The sequence below is a fragment of the Homo sapiens genome, chromosome 10 (assembly GCF_000001405.40).
Source record: "Homo sapiens chromosome 10, GRCh38.p14 Primary Assembly".
Lineage (NCBI taxonomy): Eukaryota > Metazoa > Chordata > Mammalia > Primates > Hominidae > Homo > Homo sapiens.
The window spans coordinates 72,392,442-72,416,920 of record NC_000010.11 but is presented as its reverse complement, the minus strand read 5'-3'; the positions used below and the strand labels follow the sequence as shown (position 1 = coordinate 72,416,920).

At 40.9% G+C, this 24,479-nt stretch overlaps 1 protein-coding gene across 24 annotated transcripts in view; it reads left to right on the top strand.

Annotated features, from left to right (window-relative positions):
* MICU1 (mitochondrial calcium uptake 1) overlaps nt 1–24,479 on the top strand; it is a 258,740-nt gene that overhangs the window by 209,159 nt on the left and 25,102 nt on the right. For all 24 annotated transcript variants that reach the window (NR_199811.1, NR_199809.1, NR_199810.1 and 21 more), the window contains one exon: nt 8,884–8,992. Coding sequence is in view for 21 of the 24 variants with exons in the window: in NM_001441228.1 (NP_001428157.1) it covers nt 8,884–8,992 (109 nt within the window). In the remaining 3 variants the exon portion in view is untranslated. The remainder of the gene's footprint in view (nt 1–8,883; nt 8,993–24,479) is intronic.

The following is a 24,479-nucleotide window of genomic DNA, read 5'->3' as shown; positions in this document are numbered from 1 at the left end:
CTTCTTGAGAGCAGTGCCTTATTCATCTTTGCATGTCCTCTGTATGGTGGCGGTAAATGCTTATCAAGTGCAATGATAAATATGTTGAGTACTCTATTAAAGGTATGAGATCTTTTTGAAGCACTAAGGAGGAAGATTAGAGCCAGCTGAAGAGACCGAGTAAGATTTCTTAGAGGAAGTACAATTCGAACTTGGCCTTAAACATGGAGTAGGATTTTGACAAGCAGAAGCTTATAAAGACATTTGCTTTTGCTAAGTGTTTCCTGTCGTAGCCCTATCCCCAACAGCCTTCTGTGTGTATGATTGCTTATTAATTCTGCTACTAGCCATTAAGCAGTTAGTACTTATCAAACAGTTCTAATAAAACCATTAGATTGTTAAGTTTTCATATCATCTGTGGATAATATATGCGAGCTCTCCTTTTTCACTTATTCTCAGATATTTGAACCACATTAGTCATTTGTGGAATATCAGATTCTAGAAATTGCTAGCATACCCCTTGAAAACTCATTAACTCCAAATATTAGGTGCCCACCAGTCACTATGTAGTATAGCGTGTGAAATGTGGCCATAAAACTAAAAAGACTAGAACTCTACTTTTTGTTGTTGTTGTTGTTACTAATTAGCTTTGAAACCTGTACTTCCCCCAAAGGAGTACTAAGCTATGAATTACTATAGGAGATTTAGTTTTATGAGTTTTCCCTCTATTATTTTCCTGTTTTTTCCCCACAATGAATTTCATTTACATCAACTTTTCCCCTATTCCCTATCCCTCAAGATCCTACACATTCCAGATAAGAGAGCCTACTTCAGAGCTTAGTAGAATAAATTAATTATCACTAGTTCTGTAGTAATGAGCCTGCCAAATTACTAAGGACTCATATCTACCACTTACTGAGTACTTTCTGTGTACTAGACATTTTACATATCTTGTGTATCTACCTGCTTGGTAGATACTAGGTAGAATTATCATATTTCAGATGAAAAATAGTCCTCTGAGCCTTAGTTATTAACCTGAGATCAACAATGTCTTAGGAAGGCGGCACCAGGGTTCAAAGCTTTATTCTTATTCCAGAGTCCATAGCCTTCTTACTAATCATCCTGTTTGTTGCCACTCCTTATTCTCCATGGTTTAAATAAGCACAAGTTTTTAGGGAAACAAAACCAGTGTTGCCAGATGCCAGCCTAAGATTCTTAGGAAGATAGCTAGAAAGGTTAAGTTATGGAAGCAGATGGTGGAAGACCGTAAATCCCAGGCTAAAAAGTTTGGAGGTTTATCCAATTGACAGTAGGAAATCATGGACATGTTGTGAGCGGAAGGGATAAAGATATGAAGAAAGTGATGTTTCAGAAAGATTAGATACCTGTGGAAATGTAAGTAACAGAAATGGTATAATTTCCCCTGCTGCCAGGCAACAGTTGAAGAGAAGTCTGGGGTTTGCAATAGGAAGATGCTTTATTAGAGCAAGACAGGCATAGTAATACCTCTGAAAGGTACCCAAGAAATAGGTAACATGGGCCACATGTAGCACAGGGTTCAGAAAGAATTGCCTTGTACCTGGTATAAAAATATTAATTAAAATTGTTTTAAAACTAAGCAGGAGAGGCTGGGCGCAGTGACTCACGCCTGTAATCCCAGCACTTTGGGAGGCCAAGGTAGTTGGATCACCTGAGGTCAGGAGTTCAAGACCAGCCTGGCCAACATGGCGAAAGCACATCTCTACAAAAATACAAAAAATTAGCTGGCCATGGTGACAGGTGTCTGTAATCCCAGCCACTTGGGAAGCTAAGGCAAGAGAATTGCTTGAACTTGGAAGGCGAAGGTTGCAGTGAGCCAAGATTGCTCCATTGCACTCCAGCCTAAGCAACAGAGTGAGACTCTGTCTCAAAAAAAAAAAAAAAAAAAACTAAGCAGGAGATTGAGCAGAGGATACATGACAAGAATGGTGAGAGGCATGGGATATAAGGAAGGAAGAAGACTGTTTTTTTCAGTGGGCCATAGACAGAACTTGGGCAATTAGATTGGCTTCTGGTAGACGGATTTGCTGTGACTGATTAAAAGGCAGGAAGAGGGAATCATCCATTACAGTGTTTGCACTCATCATGGCCTGTCAGCATTAGATATCTCGCTTTACAGCTGACTCCAAAGGAAGCTACATTTTCCTTGTCTCATCTACTCTGACTGCTTCATATTTTTTAACAACTTTTTTTGAGGTATAATTTATATACCATAAGTTATCCATTTTAACTGTACAATTCGGTGATTTTTATTAATTTTAGTGAATTTTAGTAAATTTGCAGTTATGCAATTATTACTGCCATTCAGTTTTAGAACATTTCCATCACCCCAAAAAGATCCCTCCTGCTAGCTTTCAGTCAATCCTCATTTCTACCCTAGCCCCAGGCAACTATAAAACAGCTTTCAGTCTCTATAGACTTGCATTTACTGGACATTTCATATAAATACAATAATAAGGTAGTCTTTTGTGTCTGGCTTCTTTTACTTAGCACAATATTTTTATGTAGATGCTTATATTAATAGTTTATTATTTTCTATTGCAGAAGAGTAAATAGTATTTTATTTACTACATTACATTTTTATGTAGATGCTTATATTAATAGTTTATTATTTTCTATTGCAGAAGAGTAAATAGTATTTTATTGCTTGGATATACTAAATTTTATTTATCCATTCACATTTGGATTGTTTCCAGTTTTGGGCTATTAGGAATAATGCTGCTGTGAACATTGCGTACAAGTCCTCCTGCAGACCTGTGTTTTCATTTTTGTTGAAGATTCCTAGGAGTGAAATACCTGGGTTGTATGGTAAATTTAATTTTTTGAGGAACTGCTAAACCGTTTTCCAAAGTGGTGGAACCATTTCACATCTCCATGTGAATATACGAGAGTTCCAGTTTCTCCACACCCTCATCAACACCTGTTATTGTCTGTCTTCTTTATTACAGTCATTCCAATAGGTGTGTAGTGGTATATCATTGTGATTTTAATTTGTATTTTCCTAATGATGCTAAGCATTGTTTCATGTACTTATTAGCCATTCACTTGTCTTGTTTGGTAAACTGTCTATTCAAATCTTTTTTTAAATCAGGTTGTTGGTCTTCCCATATATTGAGTTATAATAGTTGTTTATATAATTCTGGATACAAGTCCTTTTTTTTTTATTTTTGAGACAGGGTCTCCCTCTGTCGCCCAGGCTGGAGTGCAGTGGCACAATCTCAGCTCACTTGAACCTCTGCCTCCCAGGTTCAAGCAGTTATCCTGCCTCAGCCTCCTGAGTCACTGGGATTACAGGTGCCCACCACCACAGCCTGGCTAATTTTTGTACTTTTAGTAAAGATGGGTTTTCACCATATTGGTCAGGCTGGTCTCGAACATCCAACCTCAGGTGATCCACCCGCCTTGGTGTCCCAAAGTGCTGGCATTACAGGTGTGAGCCACTGCGCCCGACCTGGATTCAAGTCTGTTACCAAATATATGATTTTCAAGCATTTTCTCCTAGCTTGTGATTTTTCTATTTTCTCATTATTTTGAAGCACAAATTTTTTAAATTTTGATGAAGTCTAACCAATCAGTTTTTTTTCCTTTATGGATTGTGCTTTGGGTGTCATCTAAGAACTCTTGCCTTAGTCAAGGTCATGAAGATTTGCTCCTATGTGGTTTTGTTTTGTTTTGTTTTGTTTTTGTTTTTGTTTTTTGTCTTTTTTTGAGACAGAGTTTCACTGCTGCCCAGGCTGGAGTGCAGTGGCACGATCTCGGCTCACTACAACCTCCACCTCCTGGGTTCATGCAATTCTCATTCCTCAGCCTCCCGAGTAGCTGGGATTACAAGCACATGCCACCATGCCTGGCTAATTTCTGTATTTTTAGTAGAGACAGGGTTTCACCATGTTGGCCAGGCTGGTCTCAAACTTCCAGGCTCAAGTGATCTGCCCGCCTTTGCCTCCCAAAGTGCTGGGATTACAGGCATGAGCCACTGTGCACTGTGCTCAGCCTCTCCTGTGTTTTCTTCTAAAAGTTTTATCCACTGCTTTTTTTTTTTTTTTTTCTGGAGACAGAGTTTTGCTCTTGTCGCCCAGGCTGGAGTGCAATGGCGCAATCTTGGCTCACTGCAACCTTTGCCTCCCAGGTTCAAGCAATTCCCCTGCCTCGGCCTCCTGAGTAGCTGGGATTACAGGCATGCGCCACCATGCCCAGATAATTTTGTATTTTTAGTAGAGACGGGGTTTCACCATGTTTGGCCAGGCTGGTCCCGAACTCCTGACCTCAGGTGATCGAGCCGCCTCGACCTCCCAAAGTGCTGGGATTACAGGCATGAGCCACCACACCTGGCCCTGCTTTTAGTTTTGAAAGACAATTCTATTTACTTGCTTAGCAACTTCCTAATGTTAAATTCATTTTTCAGCATCCTAAAGAAATAATCACTATTGTCTACAAACTATCATTAATCTTATCTTCTTTTTATAGTCACCTAGAGCCCGGTTTATATAAGTCCATCTTTCCAAAGGTAGATAGATAACCAGTTTGTTGAACAATTAGTCACAGTAACTCCTCTAAGAGACAGTTCCTTTTGATTATTATGTCTGCAGTTCTAGTCACCTGCCAATAGATTGTTTCATAAGTTGTAGCCTTCTTGTCCAAACAACTCAATTTGCAATAAGTATATCCTTTCTCTTTCCATCTTTCCAGCCACAAAGCTCATGTTATCATCTTACTCTAGCTTTTTTCTAATAGCCCTCTGGATTTTTACCATAGTAGTTACCAAAAAAATAAGAATTTTGGGACTGACATCATCTTCACTTTAAGGAGGCCTATCTAAATAGTAAGCTCCAAAAAATCAAGGCCTGTGTCCAATACAATTTCCCTCACTGTTCTTGGCATAATGATAAGTGATTAGTAAGTGCTCAATAAAATTTTTTATTATATCTTTGTGATAAAAGTATAGTGATGTATATTTAGATTTAATAGTTATATAATGTGATTTGCAGCCCACTGTTTTTCTGAATCACCAAATGAATAGCCATTCAGTTTAGATTGTTCTCTCTCTGTCCTCAGATAATTCTCAGCATAAGCACTCTGGTCTTGAGCTGTAGTATTTGATGTTTCAGAGTGTTAGTTAGAAACTAACAAACTTTAGAGGTTGTTTATCATCAGAGTGGGACACATTTCCTCTACCATGCCCTAACTGTTTTAGGAATTTTATGTTAACCTTTTAGCCTCAAATACCCTTTCAATAACTTAGTCCCCTAACTCTCTAACTCCTACAGGATTTTATACCTTAATAAGAAAAGTAACTGTAATCCCAGCACTTTGGGAGGCCGAGGCGGGTGGATCACGAGGTCAGGAGATCGAGACCATCCTGGCTAACACGGTGAAACCCCATCTCTACTAAAAAAAAATACAAAAAATTAGCCGGGTGCAGTGGTGGGCGCCTGTAGTCCCAGCTACCCGGGAGGCTGAGGTAGGAGAATGGCGTGAACCCGGGAGGCGGAACTTGCAGTGAGCCGAGATCGCGCCACTGCACTCCAGCCTGGGCGATAGAGCGAGACTCCGTCTCAAAAAAAAAAAAAAGAAAAGTAAAAGAGCTTTAGCATGTTATGTGTGTATGTGTGTTGTGTGTGGTAAAATACACATCTATTTCCAGAACCCGTTCACCTTCCCAAACCGGAACTCCTTACCATTAAATAATAGCTCCTCATTCTCCTCCTCCCAGCTCCTGACAACCACCATCTTTGACTACTCTCATTACCTCATTTAAGTGCAGTCATACAGTATTATCTTTTGTCCTTTTGTGGCTAGTTTATTTCACTTGGCATAATGTCTTCGAGGGCCATCATCCTGTAGCTTGTGTCAGAATCTTCTTCCTTTTAAAAGCTAAACAATATTCCATTGTGTGTATATGCCGCATTTTGTTTATCCATTCATCCATCAGTAGACTATTGGGTTGCCTCCACCTTTATGTGTCTTTTGATGGCAGGGAAAGGAAGATTATTAGTGTGTCCATCCACAAGCAATGATATTGTACAACCTGTACTTCTAATCCTATGGGATTCTCTTCTAAATTTGATTCTAGCTAGTGCCTACATTAAATAGCATACTATGGTATGCATAATGAGACCTAACTCTGGGTGCTCTAAGGCAAAGCCAAGAGACTGACCTCAAATTAGGGAAAAAGCATATAATATAGGCCTTCCAGTCCACTACCAAAAATTACAACACTTGGTACATAGTAGGTACTCTATAAATGTTTGTTTTTTGTTTTTTGGTTGTTTTGTTTTGTTTTGAGACAGAGTTTCCCTCTTGTTGCCCAGACTGGAGTGCAGTGGCGTGATCTCAGCTCACTGCAACCTCTGCCTCCCAGGCTCAAGCGATTCTCCTGCCTCAGCCTCCCAAGTAGCTGGGATTGCAGGCATTTGCCACCATGCCTGGCTAATATTTTTGTATTTTTAGTAGAGATGGGGTTTCTCCGTGTTAGTCAGGCTGGTCTGGAACTCTTGACCTCAGGTGATCTGCCCGCCTCGGCCACCCAAAGTGCTGGGATTACAGGCGTGAGCCACCGTGCCTGGCTAGTACTCTATAAATGTTTGAATAAATGCTAAGTACAGATGCATCACTGTTCATAATTGCCAAAAATTGGAAACAGCCCAAATAGAATGGATAAACAAATTGTGGTATATTCACACAATGAAATACTTTATAGCAATAAAAATGAATGAACTACAGATACACACAAAAACATGAACAAATCTTAAAGAGAGAAGCCATATATAACAGAATGCCTACTGCATAATTCCATTTCTACTGTTCCACAACAGATAAAATTAAGCAACGGTTTTTGTAAGTACGCTATTTACATATAAAAATGCTATTTTTAAAAAAAGCAAGGAAATGAATTCCCTAAAAGTCAGAATAGTGGTTATTGTCAGTAGGGGTTGGGCAGGGGCTGGAGTTTATGATTAGGAAGGGACATGTTGTGGGGAGAGAGGAGGCTTCTGAGATGATGATAATAGTCTGTTCCTTGACCTAAATGAAGGTTCTGTGGGTGTTCACTTTGCAAGAGTTTGATAAGTTGTACATTTATATTTTATGCACCTTTCTATATAGTCATCATATTCCACAATAAAGTTTTTTAAGTTCTATGATTCTAAGGAAAAAAATTATAAAAGATCATGTGATATAATCATACAGTCTTTTTTGTTGTGTTTTGTTTTTGAGACAGCGTCTAGCCCTGTCACCCAGGCTGGAGTGCTGTGGCATGATCTCAGCTCCCTGCAACCTCTGCCTCCCAGGCTCAAGCGATCCTCCCACCTCAGCCTCCCAAATAGCTGGTACTATAGGCACATGCCACCACACTCGGCTAACTTTTTAAATATTTTTTGTAGAGATGAGGTTTCACCATGTTGCCTAGGCTGGTCACTGAGCTCAAGTGATCCTCCTGCCTTGGCCTCCCAAAGTGCTGGGATTACAGGCATGAGTCACTGCACCCAGCCTAATACAGTCTTTTAGCTTTCAGTTTGATAAGGTGAGAAACATACAATTGACCCAGTTTGGAGAGTACCAGGAAAGAACTGTAGATTGTATTAGGATTTCCTTATTACTGAGTTCCTGATGTGAGTTCCTGGGCTCTGTAGTTTGGGAAAATGAAAATTGCAGGAGGAGCAGCACTAAGTAGAAGCCAGTCTACATCTGCAGCTCTTTAAGGACCTGATGCTTCATTAAAAGGCATTAACATCAGTGTCTGGGATATCTAGGACATTTCCCAGTGTTTTCCCTTCTTAGAAACTGCATTTATTTCCATCACAGCATGATGTGTGGGAAGCGGGGGAAAGGCAAATAGGACAAATCTTCCTCCCTATAAAGGAATTCCCAGTAGCCCCTATTTCTATAACTACTTTTTCTCGATGCATCATAGAAAGTGGAATTAGAGATCAGCAAATCTTTAAACCGTTTTTGAAAAAAAAATCTTCATTCACAGAATTTCATTAGATTAAAGTTAAGTGGCAAATTACTTTGTGGGTAGCTTTTAAATTGAGATAATGAACGGCTTCCCCATTACTTGGGTTTTGCTAAATACCGACACCGTTCCCCTGTATATCACTGACTTTGGTGATTCTTCAATTCGCTTAAGCCTCAAAAAGCTCAGCTGGCCTGTGAGCAGACTATTAAACTGGAAGTCCTGACTCTGATTTTACTTCTTAAGATGTATAACAAGTCAAGTAGCTATAGCCCAATTAGGAAGTGTCATCATTGATAGTGTGTCTAATTGGAGAGCACAGTTAGAAATATTTTCATTAGGCCAGGTGTAGTGGCTCAGACCTGTAATCCCAGCACGTTGGGAGGCTGAGGCAGGTGAATCACTTGAGGTCAGGAGTTCAAGGCCAGTCTGGCCAACATGATGAAACCCTGTTTCTACTAAAAATACAAAAATTAACCAGGCGTGATGGTGTGCACCTGTAATCCTAGCTACTCAGGAGGCTGAGGCAGGAGAATTGCTTGAACGTAGGAGGCGGAGGTTGCAGTCAGCTGAGATCATGCCATTACGCTCCAGCTTGGGTGACAGAGTGAAACTCCATCTCAAAAAAAAAGAAGAAATATTTTCATTAAGATATTCAGCCATCACTGTAAGCTTTCTCAGATTTTACGTGTGAGAGGGAAGCAACTAGCCAGTTTGCCTTTCTCAGGGTAGAATTCAAGAGTTTTGTTCCCCTGCTGTTTATGAATTTGATATTCCTTGACTAATGTATTCAGTTTCTGTTCTAGACATGAGCATGAATTTCTGATTTGCAGATGTGAATCACTGCCTATGCATATCGTGCTGCTTTTTGTTACAGGTCCTGCCTTACCTTGCTGTCTCTCCTCTTGCAGGGTCTGACATTTCAGGAGGTGGAGAACTTCTTTACTTTCCTAAAGAACATTAATGATGTGGACACTGCATTGAGTTTTTACCATATGGCTGGAGCATCTCTTGATAAAGGTAATGAAACTCAAAAAGTGTTTTTTTGAAGGTATGAACATTGGATCTGTAATCTCTTAGGTGACTGCCCCTCCTGAACAGTAAAAGATAAGTTTTTCTTGGCATCCTTGAAATGGTGTTTTGATTTGTTGACATTGTATGAGCCTTGCATTTCACCCTGAGATGCCAAGTTCAGTGAATATATTTTCTTGTGCTAAGGCCGTAGTCTGGGCAGGTGCCTATCTTTAAATGACTAACCTTGAAAATAAGCATCTAAGCTGAGGCACAGGGCATGAAGCTGCAGAACTTCCCCTATCTGAGCCAGAGTCATTATATATACAATGTGAAGCTAAAGTCACTATACAACTTAAGTTGCGTCTTTGATGAGAAGGAATGCTTTAGTTTATTTCTTATATTAAGACTTTTTTTAAGACAATATGACTCTGAGAATAACACCCCGCTCCTTTGGCTTACTTCATAGAAATTCAGTTACAGTTTGTACAAGCAACGTGAGAGCACGGAGGAATTGAAAGCACAATTTTTCCCTCAACATTTCATTATGAAAATTTTTAAACATTCAGAACAGTTGAAATAATTATTTAAATAACATCCACATATTCAGCTCAACTGACATTTTGCTATATTTGCTTGATCGTATGACTATGCATATTTTCACCTCTCTAAGTAATCATTGATCTTATTTGACATGTTCAAAGTAAGTTGCAGACGTAAGTATACTTCACTCCCAATTAGTTCAGTATGAATATTAACTAAAGTTCAAGATTCATTTAAAGTTCTTTCAGTCCCCTTCACAGTTTTTGCCCCCACTCACCAAGAGGCAACCTTTGTACTGTATATTTTTCCACCATAGATTAATTTTGCTTTTTCTAGAACTTCATACATTGGAATTATATAAATGTACACTCGTCTAAGGTTTCACTCAATGTTTTTGAGATCCATCTCCGTTGTGTGTCAGTAGTTTAATCCTTTTTTATGATGAGTAGTAACCCATTGTATGAATATAGTCAGGCATGGTGGTTCATGCCTGTAATCCGAACACTTTGGGAGGCTGAGGCAGGTAGATCACCTGAGGTCAGGAGTTTGAGACCAGCCTGGTCAACATGGCGAAACTCCATCTCTACTAAAATTGCAAAAATTAGCCAGGCGTGGTGGTGTATGCCTGTAGTCCCAGCTACTCGGAAGGCTGAGGCAGGAGAATTGCTTGAATCTGGGAGGCAGAGGTTGCAGTGAGCCAAGATTGTGCAGGATTGCTTGAGCCCAGGAGTTTGAGACCAGCCTGGGCAACATAGTGAGACCCCATCTCTCTCTTTTTTTTTTTTTAATAAGGAGTATATGAACATATATGAAAGTCCTGAAATGTCAGCTATTGTAAATGCTGCCAACTTGGTCTTCTTTTTCAAGATTACTTTGGATATTCTAGGTCATTTGTATTTCCATATAAATTTTAGAATCAGCTTGTCACTTTCTATGCCAAAAGAAGTGGAATTGTGATTACAGTAACATTGAGTATGTAGATCAATTTGGGAAGAATCAACACCTTAGTGTAATATAGCATCTTATAATTCACGAGCATAATATATCTCCCCATTTTTTAAGGTCTCATTTTCTCTCAGCAGTGGTCTTATAGTTTTATTAATACAGGTCTTGCACATATATTTTTAAAATTTGTGCTTAAGTATTTTATGGTTTTCGATCCCATTATAAATGGAATTGGTTTTATTTTATTTTCTAATTGTTTGCTGCTAATATTAAAATATAACTGATTTTTATATATTAACTTTATATTCTGTAATTTTGCTAAATTCACTTATTCTTCTAGTTGTTTTGTAGATTCCTCAGGTTTTTCTATGTAAATAATCCTATCATCTTCAAACAGAGATAGTTTCATCTCCTTTTTTAAAAAAAAATTTATGGCTTTTTTTTTCTTGCTTTATTGCACTTGCTTACCCCACCAATACAATATTGAATAGAAGTGGTGAGAGTGGACATCCTTGGCTTCTTTCTGAACTTTAGAGAAAAGTATTCAATATTGTACCATTAAATTGGATATTAGATTAGATTTTTCATAGTTGCTCGTTGTCAGATTAAGAAAATTATTTTCTGTTATTTGAAAAGGGTTTTTGTCATCAATGGCTCCTGTATTTTGTCAAATTTTTTTCTATATATATTGAAATGGTCATATGGCTTTTCTGCTTTATTCTTTTAATATGGTAGATGACATTGACTATTCCTTATCCTGAAATAAACCTAATTTGTAATGATGTATTAGCTTTTTTAATGTATTACTAGACTTGATTTCCTAACATTTTGTTAAATATTGACAGATATTGGTCTGTAATTTTTTTTTTTTTTGTAATGTCTTTTCGGGTTTTATGTCAGAGTATTTTATCCTCATAAAATGAGTTAGGGACTGGGCACAGTGGCTCACACCTGTTATCCCAGCACTTTGGGAGGCCGAGGCAGGTGGATCACCTGAGGTCAGGAGTTCAAGACCAGGCTGGCCAACATGGTGAAACTCTGTCTCTACTAGAAATACAAAAAATTAGCTGGGCATGGTGGTAGGTGTCTGTAATCCCAGCTACTCAGGAGGCTGAGGCAGGAGAATCACTGGAACCTGGGAGGTGGAGGTTGCAGTGAGCCGAGATTGCGCCATTGCACTCCATTCTGGGCGACAAGAGCGAAACTCTGTCTCTAAATTAATTAATTAATTAAATTAAATAGGCCAGGCATGGTGGCTCATGCCTGTAATCCTAACACTTTAGGAGGCTGAGACGGGCAGATCACCTGAGATCAGGAGTTCAAGACCAGCCTCGCCAACATGGTGAAACCCCATCTGTAACTAAAAATAACAAAAAGTAGCCGGGCTTGGTGGCACATGCCTGTAGTCCCAGCTACTTGGGAGGCTGAGGCAGGAGAATCACTTGAACCCGGGAGATGGATGTTGCAGTGAGCTGAGATCACGCCACTGCACTCCAGACTGGGTAGCAGAGCAAGACTCCATCTCAAAAATAATAATTAAATAAGTAAATAAATAAAATGAGGGATTTTTCCTTCTCTGTTTTCAGAAGTTTCTGTAAGATGAGTATTGTTTCTTTCTGAGCTGTATTTGATAGAATTCATCAGTGAAACTATCTGGACTTGCCAATTTCTTTCTGAAAAGGTTTTGATAATTTAATTTTTTAAGTAAATATGTAAGGTTTGTGTTTTATATGAATTTTAGGTTATATTTTTGAATAATTTGCCCATGTCATCTATGTTATTGAATTTATTGACATGAAGTTGTTCATAATATTCCATTATTATCCCTTTGATGTCTGTAGAATCTGAAATCCCCTTTTACTCCTACTGTTGGCAAATTATGAATTCTCTTTCTTTTTTAAAAAAATATTTCTTACTCAGTCTACCTAGGGGTTTAGCAATTTTGTTAATCTTTTCAAAGAACCAATTTTTGACTTTGTTAATTTTCTCTATGGTTTGTTGCCTATTGAGTTGATTTCTGCTCATACCTTTGTTACTTATTCCTTCACTTATTTTCAGTATATATTATTTTGTTTTTCTTTTTCTAAGCTTCTTAAGATGAAACCTTACTTACCTTTTCTAAGGTAAGCTTGTGAAGCTATAAATTTCCCTATAAACACTGCTTTAGTCTGGGCGTGGTGGCTCACGCCTGTAATTCCAGCACTTTGGAAGGTGGGTGGATCACTTGAGGCCAGGAGTTCAAGACCAGCCTGGCCAACAGGGTGAAACTCCATTTGTACTAAAAATACAAAAACTAGTCAGGCATGGTGGCACGCACCTGTAATCCCAGCTACTGGGGAGGCTGAGGCAGGAGAATTGCTAGAACCCAGGAGGCAGAGGTTACACTGAGCTGAGATCTCACCACTCTACTCCAGCTTGAGAGACAGAGGAAGACTCTGTCTCCAAAAAACAAACAAACAAAAAACACATAACCAAAAAATAAAACACACACACACTGCCGGGCGTGGTGGCTCACGCCTGTAATCCCAGCACTTTGGGAGGCTGAGGTGGGCGGATCACGAGGTCAGGAGATCGAGACCATCCTGGCTAACACAGTGAAACCCCGTCTCTACTAAAAATACAAAAAATTAGCTGGGTGTGGTGATGGGCGACTGTAGTCCCAACTACTTGGGAGGCTGAGGCAGGAGAATGGCGTGAACCCAGGAGGCAGAGGTTGCAGTGAGCCGAGATTGCACCACTGCACTCCAGCCTGGGCAACAGAGCGAGACTCCGTCTCAAAACACACACACACACACACACACACACACACACACACACACAATTTTGGTATGTAATATTTTTTACATCATCCTGTTCAAAATATTTTCTATTTATTAGGTAAATTTGTGGACTATTTAAAAGTATATTGTTTAACTTCCAAATATTTTGGTTTTAGCTGCATGTGGTGGCTTACACCTATAATCCCAACACTTTGGTAGGTCAAAGCAGGAGGATCACTTGAGGCCAGGAGTTCAAAGCCAGCCTGGGCAACATAGCAAGACCTTGTCTCTACAAAAAATTTAAAAATTCAAATTAAAAAAAAATTTTTTTTTTTGAGACAGAGTTTCTCTCTCGCCAAGGCTGGAGTGCAGTGGCGTGATCTCGGCTCACTGCAACCCCCACCTCCCAGATTCAAGCAGTTCTCTGCCTCAGCCTCCCAAAAGCTGGGATTACAGGCTCCCACCACCACACCCGGCTAATGGTGACCCGGGTCACTGTCTTGGCCTGGGTGGTCTTGAACTCCTGACCTCATGATCCACCCACCTCGGCCTCCCAAAGTGCTGGGATTACAGGCGTCAGCCACCGCGCCCGGCCCCAGCTCAAGTTTTTATGTAGTATCACTTACCATAAATCTGAAGAACTTCTTTATTTGTTTATTTATGAGACAGGCACCTCGGCTCAAAATGGTGCCATCTTGGCTCACTGCAGCCTCCATGTCCAAGGCTCAAGCAATCCTCTCACATCAGCCTCCTGGTTAGCTGGGACCACAGGCTCATGCCACCACGCCTGGCAAATTTTTTTTATTTTTTATAGATAGTTTCACCATGTTGCCCAGGTTGGTCTCGAATTCCTGGGCTCAAGCAATCTGCCTGTCTCAGCCTCCCACAGTGGCTAAGATTACAGGCATCAGCCACCATGCCGCCCAGCCGAACTTCCTTTATCATTTCCTGTAGTGCAGATCTGCTAGCAGTGAATTCTTTTACTTTTTGGGTTATCTAAAAATGTGTTTATTTCACTGTTGATGACCACAATGTTTGATTTTTCAGTCTCTCCAAAGCACTAAGATTTTATCGATCATTTTTTGTTTTTGTTTTTTGTTTGTTTTTTTGTTTTTTGTTTTTTTTAATATACCTAAAGTTTATTTGGGCCAAGTTTGAAGACGGCAACCCAGTAGCATGGATTCAAGTTGCCCTGAATATATACTCCAATTAGCAGCAGTTACAAGTGGGTTTTTAAAGGAAAATAAGAGATAGTTTCTAATTTGCTTACCAAGAATTTACATTAAAATAACATAAGCTATTGATTGTGTATACATTGTTCTTTGTATCACAGATTCCAGGAACATGAAACTAACAGGTAAGGCAGCTAGTCAGGAACAAAATGCCTTTAAACAATTGTGCCTGGCCATGGAATCGGGGACAGGGTTGTGACTGAAGTCCCATACTCCTGTCTCTGTGCTTGATAAATTGTGCACACCTCACATACCTCAGGCTGTTCTGAGTATGTTTCTTTTCTCATTCAGCCACTTTTTTTTTTTTTCTCAGAAATCTTCCAATGGAAGCATTGATCAATCTCAGCTTATGAGACTGATAGACATTCTTCATCCCTGGCACTGGGAAGGCTCATTGCCAGATGGTCCTGTCCTGCTAGGGGCTGGGGAAGATATAGAACAATCTTGCTTATTCAATTTTTTTTTAGCGGATTCCTTAAGATTTTCTAATACAAGATCATGGTTCTCACTTATATATGGAATCTAAGTGGAGTTGAACTCATAGAAGCAGAAAGTAGAATGGTGGTCCCCAGGGGCTACAGGAGGCAGGGAAATGGGGAGTTATTTTGTTCAAAGGGTGCAAAGCTTCAGTTAGGCAGGATGAAATAGTTCTAGAGAGCTAGTTTACACTCTGGTGACTGTAATTAGTAATCCTATCGTACACTTGAAATTTGCTGAGATCTTAAGTGTTCCTTACAATATACATACATAAAAAAGGTAACTATGTGAAGTGATGGAAATGTTTTGTTTTCGTTTTTGTTTTTTTGAGACAGGGTCTCACTCTGTTGCCCAGGCTGTAGTGCAGTGGTACAATGTCTGCTTACTGCAACCTTCGCCTTCCAGGTTCAAACGATTCTCCTGTCCCAGCCTCCCAAGTAGCTGGGACTATAGGTGCGTGCCACCACACCTGGCTAATTTTTGTATTTTTAGTAGAGATGAGATTTTGCCATGTTGGCCAGACAGGTCTCAAACTCCTGACCTCAAGTGATCTGCCCAACTCAGCCTCCCAAAGTGCTAGGATTACAGGCGTGAGCCACCGCACCTGGCCTGAAGTGATGGAAGTGTTAATTAGCTTGATTGTGGTAATTATTTCACAGTATATACATATGTCAAAACATCACATTGTATACTTTAAATATATACAGTTTGTATTTGTCAATTACACCTCAGTAAAGCCAGGAAAAAAATACAAGATCATTCCATCTGCAAATAGAGATCATTTTACTTCTTCCTTTCTCATCTCAATGCCTTTTATTTCATTTTATTAATCCATATAACTTCTTAAAATAGCGTCTGTTTGTTTAAATTAGTACTTCCAAGCTGGGCTCAGTGGCACACACCTGTAGTCCCAGCTACTCAGGAGGCTGAGGCAGGAGGATCTCTTGAGCCCAGGAGTAGTTTAAGGCCAGTCTGTGCAACCTAGCAAGACCTCATCTCTAATAATAATAATAATAATAGCATTTCCACTGATATTTGCAGAATCTTTTGAAAAACAAGTTAATGATATCATATAGGGTGTGTGTGTGTGTGTGTGTGTGTGTGTGTGTGTGTGTAGCACCACCAGATCATTTCTCTAGAATAGCTTTGGTTTTACTGCTCTTTCACAAAACAAAGTTTGACAGCATCTGCAAATCCAAAGATATAAGATTTGAAGTCTTTATTTATTTATTTTTTAGATGGAGTTTTGCTCTTGTTGCCCAGGTTGGAGTGCAATGGCATGATCTTGGCTCACTGCAACCTCCACCTCCTGGGTTCAAGCGATTCTCCTGCCCCAGCCTCCCAAGTAGCTGGGATTACAGGTGCCTGCCACCACTCCCAGCTACTTTTTGTATTTTTAGTAGAGTTGGGGTTTCACCATGTTGGCCAGGCTAGTCTCAAATTCCTAATCTCAGGTGATCCGCCTGCCTTAGCCTCCCAAAGTGCTGGGATTACAGTCATGAGCCACCACGCCCGGCCAGTCATCATTTACTATAAAAACAAAATTAATAAGTTCCTCTTTATTTTTGCATACCTTCTTTTTGAAAAGCCCAACTAAAGACAACGAAAGTTCATTAAAGAACAATTATATAGGATGAATCACTGTCTGTGTTAAAATTATAGGGCGTACAAAATAGAATGATTCAGGGTAGTGTTAGCAAAGGGAAATTGCAACCTAGTGATTAAAAAAAAGAAAGAAAAAATGTTTCTTTCAAATGACTTCAGGCCTTTTGCTGGGATTTGTAGTCTCCATATAGTTCATGTCTCATTATCCTTGCTAATAGAGGCAGTGGTACAAATTGCACAGCTATATCTGACATCCAAAAATACATGTGGCTTTGAGATGTATGTTTGGGGTTTGTTTTTTGTTTTGTTTTATTTTTGGTAAATACATACATACATTTAATTTTGTACTGAGTTGGAAGGGGGAAAAATCTGCCTGTCAATCTTTTTGTTCAATTTATTCTTTTTTGTTTGTTTGTTTTGAGATGGAGTTTTGCTTTGTTGCCCAGGCCGGAGTTCAGCGGCGCAGTTTCAGCTCACTGCAACCTCAGCCTCCTGGGCTCAAGCGATTCTCCTGCCTCAGCCTCCCAAGTAGCTGGGACTACAGGCACCCACCACCCAGCTAATTTTTGTATTTTTAGTAGAGATGGGGTTTTACCATGTTGGCCAGGCTGGTCTCAAACTCCTGACCTCAAGTGATCTGTCCGCCTTGGTCTCCCAAAGTGCTGGGATTACAGGCGTGAGCCACTGCACCCGGCCTCAAATTTATTCTTATTTTTTATTTTTTATTTTTTGAGATGGAGTTTCGCTTTGTCACCCAGGCTGGAGTACAGTGGCGCGATCTCAGCCCCCTGCAATCTCTGCCTCCTGGGTGCATGTGATTCTCCTGCCTCAGCTCCCCAAGTAGCTGGGATTACAGGCACGTGCCAACATGTCTGACTAATTTTTGTATTTTTATTTTATTTTATTTATTTATTTATTATACTTCAAGTTCTAGGGCACATGTGCACAACGTGCAGGTTTGAGACATAGGTATATATGTGCCATGGTGGTTTGCTGCACCCATCAACTCATCATTTACATTAGGTATATCTCCTAATGCTATCCCTCCCCCAGCCCCCGACCCTGCAACAGGCCCCAGTGTGTGATGTTCCCCTTCCTGTGTCCAAGTGATCTCATTGTTCAGTTCCCACCTATGAGTGAGAACATGCGGTGTTTGGTTTTCTGTCCTTGTGATAGTTTGCTCAGAATGATGGTTTCCATCTTTATCCATGTCCCTGCAAAGGACATGGTTTGCGTATGTTGAACCAGCCTTGCATCCTAGGGATGAAGCTGACTTGATCATGGTGGATAAGCTTTTTGATGTGCTGCTGGATTTGGTTTGCCAGTATTTTATTGAGGATTTTCCCATTGATGTTCATCAGGGATATTGGTCTAAAATTCTCTTTTTTTGTTGTGTCTCTGCCAGGCTTTGGTATCAGGGTGATGTTGGCCTCATAAAATGAGTTAGGGAGGATTCCCTCTTTTTCTATTGATTGGAATAGTTTCAGAAGGAATGGTACCAGCTCCTTTTTGTACCTCTGGTAGAATTTGGCTGTGAATCCATCTGGTCCTGGACTTTTTTTTGGTTGGTAGGCTATTAATTATTGCCTGAATTTCAGAGCCTGTTATTGGTCTATTCAGAGATTCAGCTTCTTCCTGGTTTAGTCTTGGGAGGGTGTATGTGTCCAGGAATTTATCCATTTCTTCTAGATTTTCTAGTTTATTTGTGTAGAGGTGTTTGTAGTATTCTCTGATGGTAGTTTGTATTTCTGTGGGATCAGTGGTATATCCCCGTTATCATTTCTTACTGTGTCTATTTGATTCTTCTCTCTTTTCTTCTTTATTAGTCTTGCTAGCTGTCTATCAATTTTGTTGATCTTTTCAAAAAACCGGCTCCTAGATTCATTGATCTTTTGAAGGGTTTTTTTTGTGTCTCTATCTCTTTCAGTTCTGCTCTGATCTTAGTTATTTCTTGCCTTCTGCTAGCTTTTGCATTTGTTTGCTCTTGCTTCTCTAGTTCTTTTAATTGTGATGTTAGAGTATCAATGTTAGATTTTTCCTACTTTCTCTTGAGGGCATTTAGTGCTATAAATTTCCCTCTATACACTGCTTTAAATGTGTCCCAGAGATTCTGGTATGCTGTGTCTTTGTTCTCATTGGTTTCAAAGAACATCTTTATTTCTGCCTTCATTTTGTTATTTACCCAGTAGTCATTCAGGAGCAGGTTGTTCAGTTTCCATGTAGTTGAGTGGTTTTGAGTGAGTTTCTTAATCCTGAGTTCTAATTTGATTGCACTGTGGTCAATCAAATGAGAGACAGTTTGTTGTGATTTCTGTTCTTTTACATTTGCTGAAGAGTACTTTACTTCCAATTATGTGGTCAATTTTAGAATAAGTGTGATGTGGTGCTGAGAAGAATGTATATTTTGTTGATTTGGGGTGGAGAGTTCTGTAGATGTCTATTAGGTCCACTTGGTGCAGAGCTGAGTTCAGGTCCTGGATATCCTTGTTAACATTCTGTCTCATTGATCTGTCTAGTATTGACAGTGGGGTGTTAAAGTCTCCCGTTATTATTGTGTGGGAGTCCAGGTCTCTTTGTAGGTCTCTAAGGACTTGCTTTATGAATCTGGGTGCTCCTGTATTGGGTGCATATATATTTAGGATAGTTAGCTCTTCTTGTTGAATTGATCCCTTTACCATTATGTGATGGCCTTCTTTGTCTCTTTTGATCTTTGTTGGTTTAAAGTCTGTTTTATCAGAGACTAGGGTTGCAACCACTGCTTTTTTTTGTTTTCCATTTCCTTGGTAGATCTTCCTCCATCCCTTTATTTTGAGCCCATGTGTGTCTTTGCACATGAGATGGGTCTCCTAAATACAGCACACTGATGCATCTTGATTCTTTATCCAATTTGCCAGTCTGTATCTTTTAATTGGGGCATTTAGCCCATTTACATTTAAGGTTAATATTGCTATGTGTGAATTTGATTCTGTCATTATGATGTTCGCTGGTTATTTTGCCCATTAATTGATGCAGTTTCTTCATAGCATCGATGGTCTTTGCAATTTGGCCTGTTTTTGCAGTGGCTGGTATCGGTTGTTTCTTTCCATGTTTAGTGCTTCCTTCAGGAGCTCTTATAAGGCAGGCTTGGTGGTGACAAAATCTCTCAGCATTTGCTTGTTTGTAAAGGATTTTATTTCTCCTTCACTTATGAAGCTTAGTTTGGCTGGATATGAAATTCTGGGTTGAAAATTATTTTCTTTAAGAATGTTGAATATTGGCTCCCACTCTCTTCTGGCTTGTAGGGTTTCTGCTGAGACATCTGCTGTTAGTCTGATGGGCTTCCCTTTGTGGGTAACTCGACCTTTCTCTCTGCTGCTCTTAACACTTTTTCCTTCATTTCAACCTTGGTGAATCTGACAACTGTGTCTTGGGGTCCCTCTTCTCAAGGAGTATCTTTGTGGTGTTCTCTGTATTTCCTGAATTTGAATGTTGGCCTGCCTTGCTAGGTTGGGGAAGTTCTCCTGGATAATATCCTGAAGAGTGTTTTCCAGCTTTGTTCCATTCTCCCCATCACTTTCAGGTACATCAATCAAATGTAGATTTGGTCTTTGCACATAGTCCCATATTTCTTGGAGGCTTTGTTCATTTCTTTTAACTCTGTTTTCTCTAACCTTGTCTTCTCGCTTTATTTCATTAATTTGATCTTCAATCACTGATACCCTTTCTTCCACTTGATCGAATCAGCTATTGAAGCTTGTGCATGCGTCATGAAGTTCTCATGCCATGGTTTTCAGCTCCATCAGGTTATTTAAGGTCTTCTCTACACTGTTTATTCTAATTAGCCATTCGTCTAATCTTTTTTCAAGGTTTTTAGCTTCCTCGCGATGGGTTTGGACATCCTTTAGCTCAGAGAAGTTTGTTATTACTGACCTTCTGAAGCCTACTTCTGTCAACTCATCAAAGTCATTCTCCGTCTAGCTTTGTTCCGTTGCTGGCGAGGAGCTGCGATCCTTTGGAGGAGAAGAGGCGCTCTGCTTTTTAGAATTTTCAGCTTTTCTGCTCTGGTTTCTCCCCATCTTTGTGGTTTCATCTACCTTTGGTCTTTGATGTTGGTGACCTACAGCTGGGGTTTTGGTGTGGACGTCCTTTTTGTTGATGTTGATGCTATTCCTTTCTGTTTGTTAGTTTTCCTTCTAACAGTCAGGTCCCTCAGCTGCAGGTCTGTTGGAGTTGGCTGGAGGTCCACTCCAGACCCTGTTTGCCTGGGTATCACCAGCAGAGGCTGCAGAACAGCAAATATTGCTGCTTGATCCTTCCTCTGGAAGCGTCCTCCCAGAGAGGCAGCCGCCTGTATGAGGTGTCTGTCGGCCCCTACTGGGAGTTGTCTCCCAGTTAGGCTACACAGGGGTCAGAGACCCACTTGAGGAGGCAGTCTGTCTGTTCTCAGAGCTCAGATGCCATCTTGGGAGAACAACTGCTCTCTTCAGAGCTGTCAGACAGGGACATTTAAGTCAGCAGAAATTTCTGCTGGCTTTTGTTCAGCTATGCCCTGCCCATAGAGGTGGAGTCTAGAGGCTGTAGGCCTGTTGAGCTGTGGTGGGCTCCACCCAGTTTGAGCTTCCCAGCTGCTTTGTTTACCTAATCAAGCCTCAGCAATGGCAGATGCCCCTCCCCCAGCCAGGCTGCTGGCTTGCAAATCAATCTCAGACTGCTGCGCTAGCAGTGAGCAAGGCTCCGTGGGCATGGGAACCTCCAAGCCAGGCACAGGAGAGAATCACCTTGCCTACCGGTTGCTAAGACCTTGGGAACAACACAGTATTTGGGTGGGAGTGTCCCATTTTTCCAGGTAGTCTGTCATGGCTTCCCTTGGCTAGGAAAGAGAAATCCCCTGACCCCTTGTGCTTCCCAGGTGAGGCGACGCCCCGCCCTGCTTCGACTCACTCTCCGTGGGCTGCACCCACTGTCCAACCAGTCCCAATGAGATGAACCAGATACCTCAATTGTAAATGCAGAAATCACCCATCTTCTGTGTCGATCACACTGGGAGCTGCAGACCGGAGCTGTTCCTATTTGGCCATCTTGGAACACCCCTCTCAATTTTTGTATTTTTTAGTAGAGATGGGGATTCACCATATTGGGCCGATCACAAGGTCAGGAGATCGAGACCATCCTGGCTAACAAGGTGAAACCCCGTCTCTACTGAAAATACAAAAATTTTTGAGATGGAGTCTCACTCTATTGCCCAGGCTGGAGTGTAGTGGTATGATCTTGGCTCACTGCAAGCACCGCCTCCTGGGTTCATGCCGTTCTCCTGCCTCAGCCTCCCAAGTAGCTGGGATTACAGGCACCCGCCACCACGCCCAGCTAAATTTTGTATTTTTAGTAGAGATGGGGTTTCACCATGTTAGCCAGGATGGTCTCAATCTCCTGACCTCGTGATCTGCCTGCCTCAGCCTCCCAAAGTGCTGGGATTACAGGCGTGAGCCACCATGTCTGGCCAGATAGTTAGGTTTCTAAAAGAAAAAAAATTAGGCTGTTAACAGATAGATACATTTAATTTTTCTTTTTTACATTTATTGTTTATTTTAAAAAACAGAGATGGGGTCTCACTGTTGACCACGCTGGTCTTGAGCTCCTGGTCTCACAGGATCCTTCTGCCTTGGCCTCCCAAAGTGCTAGGATTATAGTGGTTGGTATTGTAATAGTTAAATTCACATTTTTTGTTTGCTTTTGTTTTTGTAGACTACATATGGGTGGGTTTTTTTTTTTTCTTTTTGAGACAGAGTCTTTGTCACCTAGACTGGAGTGCAGTGATGTGATCTCAGCTCACTGAAACCTCTGCCTCCTGGGTTCCAGTGATTCTCCTGCCCCAGCCTCCCCAGTAGCTGGGATTACAGGCATGTGCCACGACACCTGGCTAATTTTTGTATATTTAGTAAAGACAGGGTTTTACCACATTGGCCAGGCTGGTTATGAACTCCTGACCTCAAGTGATCCACCTGCCTTAGCCTCCCAAAGTGCTGGGATTACAGGGGCCCAGCCTCATATGGGTAATTTTTAATTCTTGGTTGCTGTAGTGGGTTACGTGGTGGCCCCCAAAAGGATATGTCTACATCTTAGTCCTCAGAACCTGTGATTGTGACCTTGTTGGACACAGGGTCTTTGCAGATATAATTAAGTTAAGGTCCTTGAGATGAGATCATCCTAGATTATCCAGCTGGGCTCTAAGTCAGGCATGATTACAGGCATGAGCCACTATGCCCAGCCAATAGATGTTTATTAATTGAATTACTCTTCAAATATTCAGGAGCTCAAAAAAATAGGCACTATCAGCTGGGCTCTTTGGCTCACACCTGTAATCCCAGCACTTTGGGAGGCCAAGGTGGGCTGATCTTGAAGTCAGGAGATTGAGACCATCCTGGCCAACATGGTGAAACCCTGTCTCTACTAAAAATACAAAAATTAGCCGGGTGCAGTGGCAGCGGGCACCTGTAATCTCAGCTACTCAGGAGGCTGAGGCAGGAGAATCGCTTGAACCAGGGAGTCGGAGATTGCAGTGAGCCAAGATCACACCACTGCACTCCAGCCTGGTGACAGAGCAAGACTCCGTCTCAAAACAAACAAACAAACAAACAAAATAGGTACTTTCCTTGATTCCTTAGTCTCACTCACATATTTACTTCTTCAATAAATCCTTGAGTTTACCTCCAGAACGTACCCTGCATCTGCCTCCTTTTCTCGCTCTCCTACCACAGCCCTCGCCTCTTTACTGACTGTGGCTTTACACAGGGCTACCTATGCCATGGCCCCTGTATACTCTCTGAGTTCATAAAATATCGTTTTTTTCCCAGTTCACTCCACTCCACATTGTTCTTTTCACATTCCAAATACACCAAGCTTACTGAAGGCCTTAGCTATTGGAGTTAGTTAAGGCCTTTGTATCGGTTGTTTCTACCTCAAGCGCTCTTGCCTGGGATCTCCATGTATTTAGCTCCTTGTAACTTAGGTCTGGTATAAGTCATTTCCTCGGGAAGACCTTTTCATTCTAAAGTAGTTCCATCATCCTGTATCATATTATCCTATTTTTTATAGCATTTATCACTCCCTGATATTTTCTCAGGTTTATGTGTTTGCTTATTATTTGTTGCACCTTACTAGAATGCTTATCTGTCTTGCTCATGGATGTATTCCATGTGCCTAGAACAACACTTGGGATAGAGGAAGAACTCAATAATTATATAGTCAACAAATGAATGAGTGAATGAACATATTGATATATCTGAACAAGACATAAACCTCTACCCTTCTACCCTTCCCAGCAGCCCAGGGAACAAACTCATCATGTTCTTCTGTAACCCTCATCCTTGGACTTGACATATGTTTCACCTTCTTCCATGTAAAAGAGGTGATGATAGTAGTAATTTTAACTGTTCACCTGCTGAGGTGTGCACAGAAGACTAGCATGCACTCAGCTAGCCTTTCCAAATCCTTCCATGCTCCCAGATGTCCCTGTCTCTTACAAGCACTCCTTGGGCTCTGCCCAGGCCTTTGCTTTTAAACCTCCCTCCTCCTGACCCGGACTAGTGATTCTTTCCATTGGTTTGAGTTCTACATGAATGACAGGCCTCTCCTCCTTGCTCCACAGAACAAAGGAATTTTACTGCTGAGATGAATCTTAGAAAAGAGGAAGAAATGTGTAATGGTTAAGAGCAGAAGTTCTGAAGTCAGACTGCCTGAATTTGAATGTCTCCATCATTTACTAGCTGGGTAGCTTTGAGCAGTTTCTGAACTTAGTTTCTGTGTTTATTTTATTTTTTTAATTTTTTTGAGACAGGGTCTCACTCTGTCACCCAGACTGGAGTGCAGTGGTACAATCTTGGCTCACCGCAACCTCTGCTTCCCAGGGTCAAGAAATTCTCCTGCCTCAGCCTCCTGAGTAGCTGGGATTACAGGCAC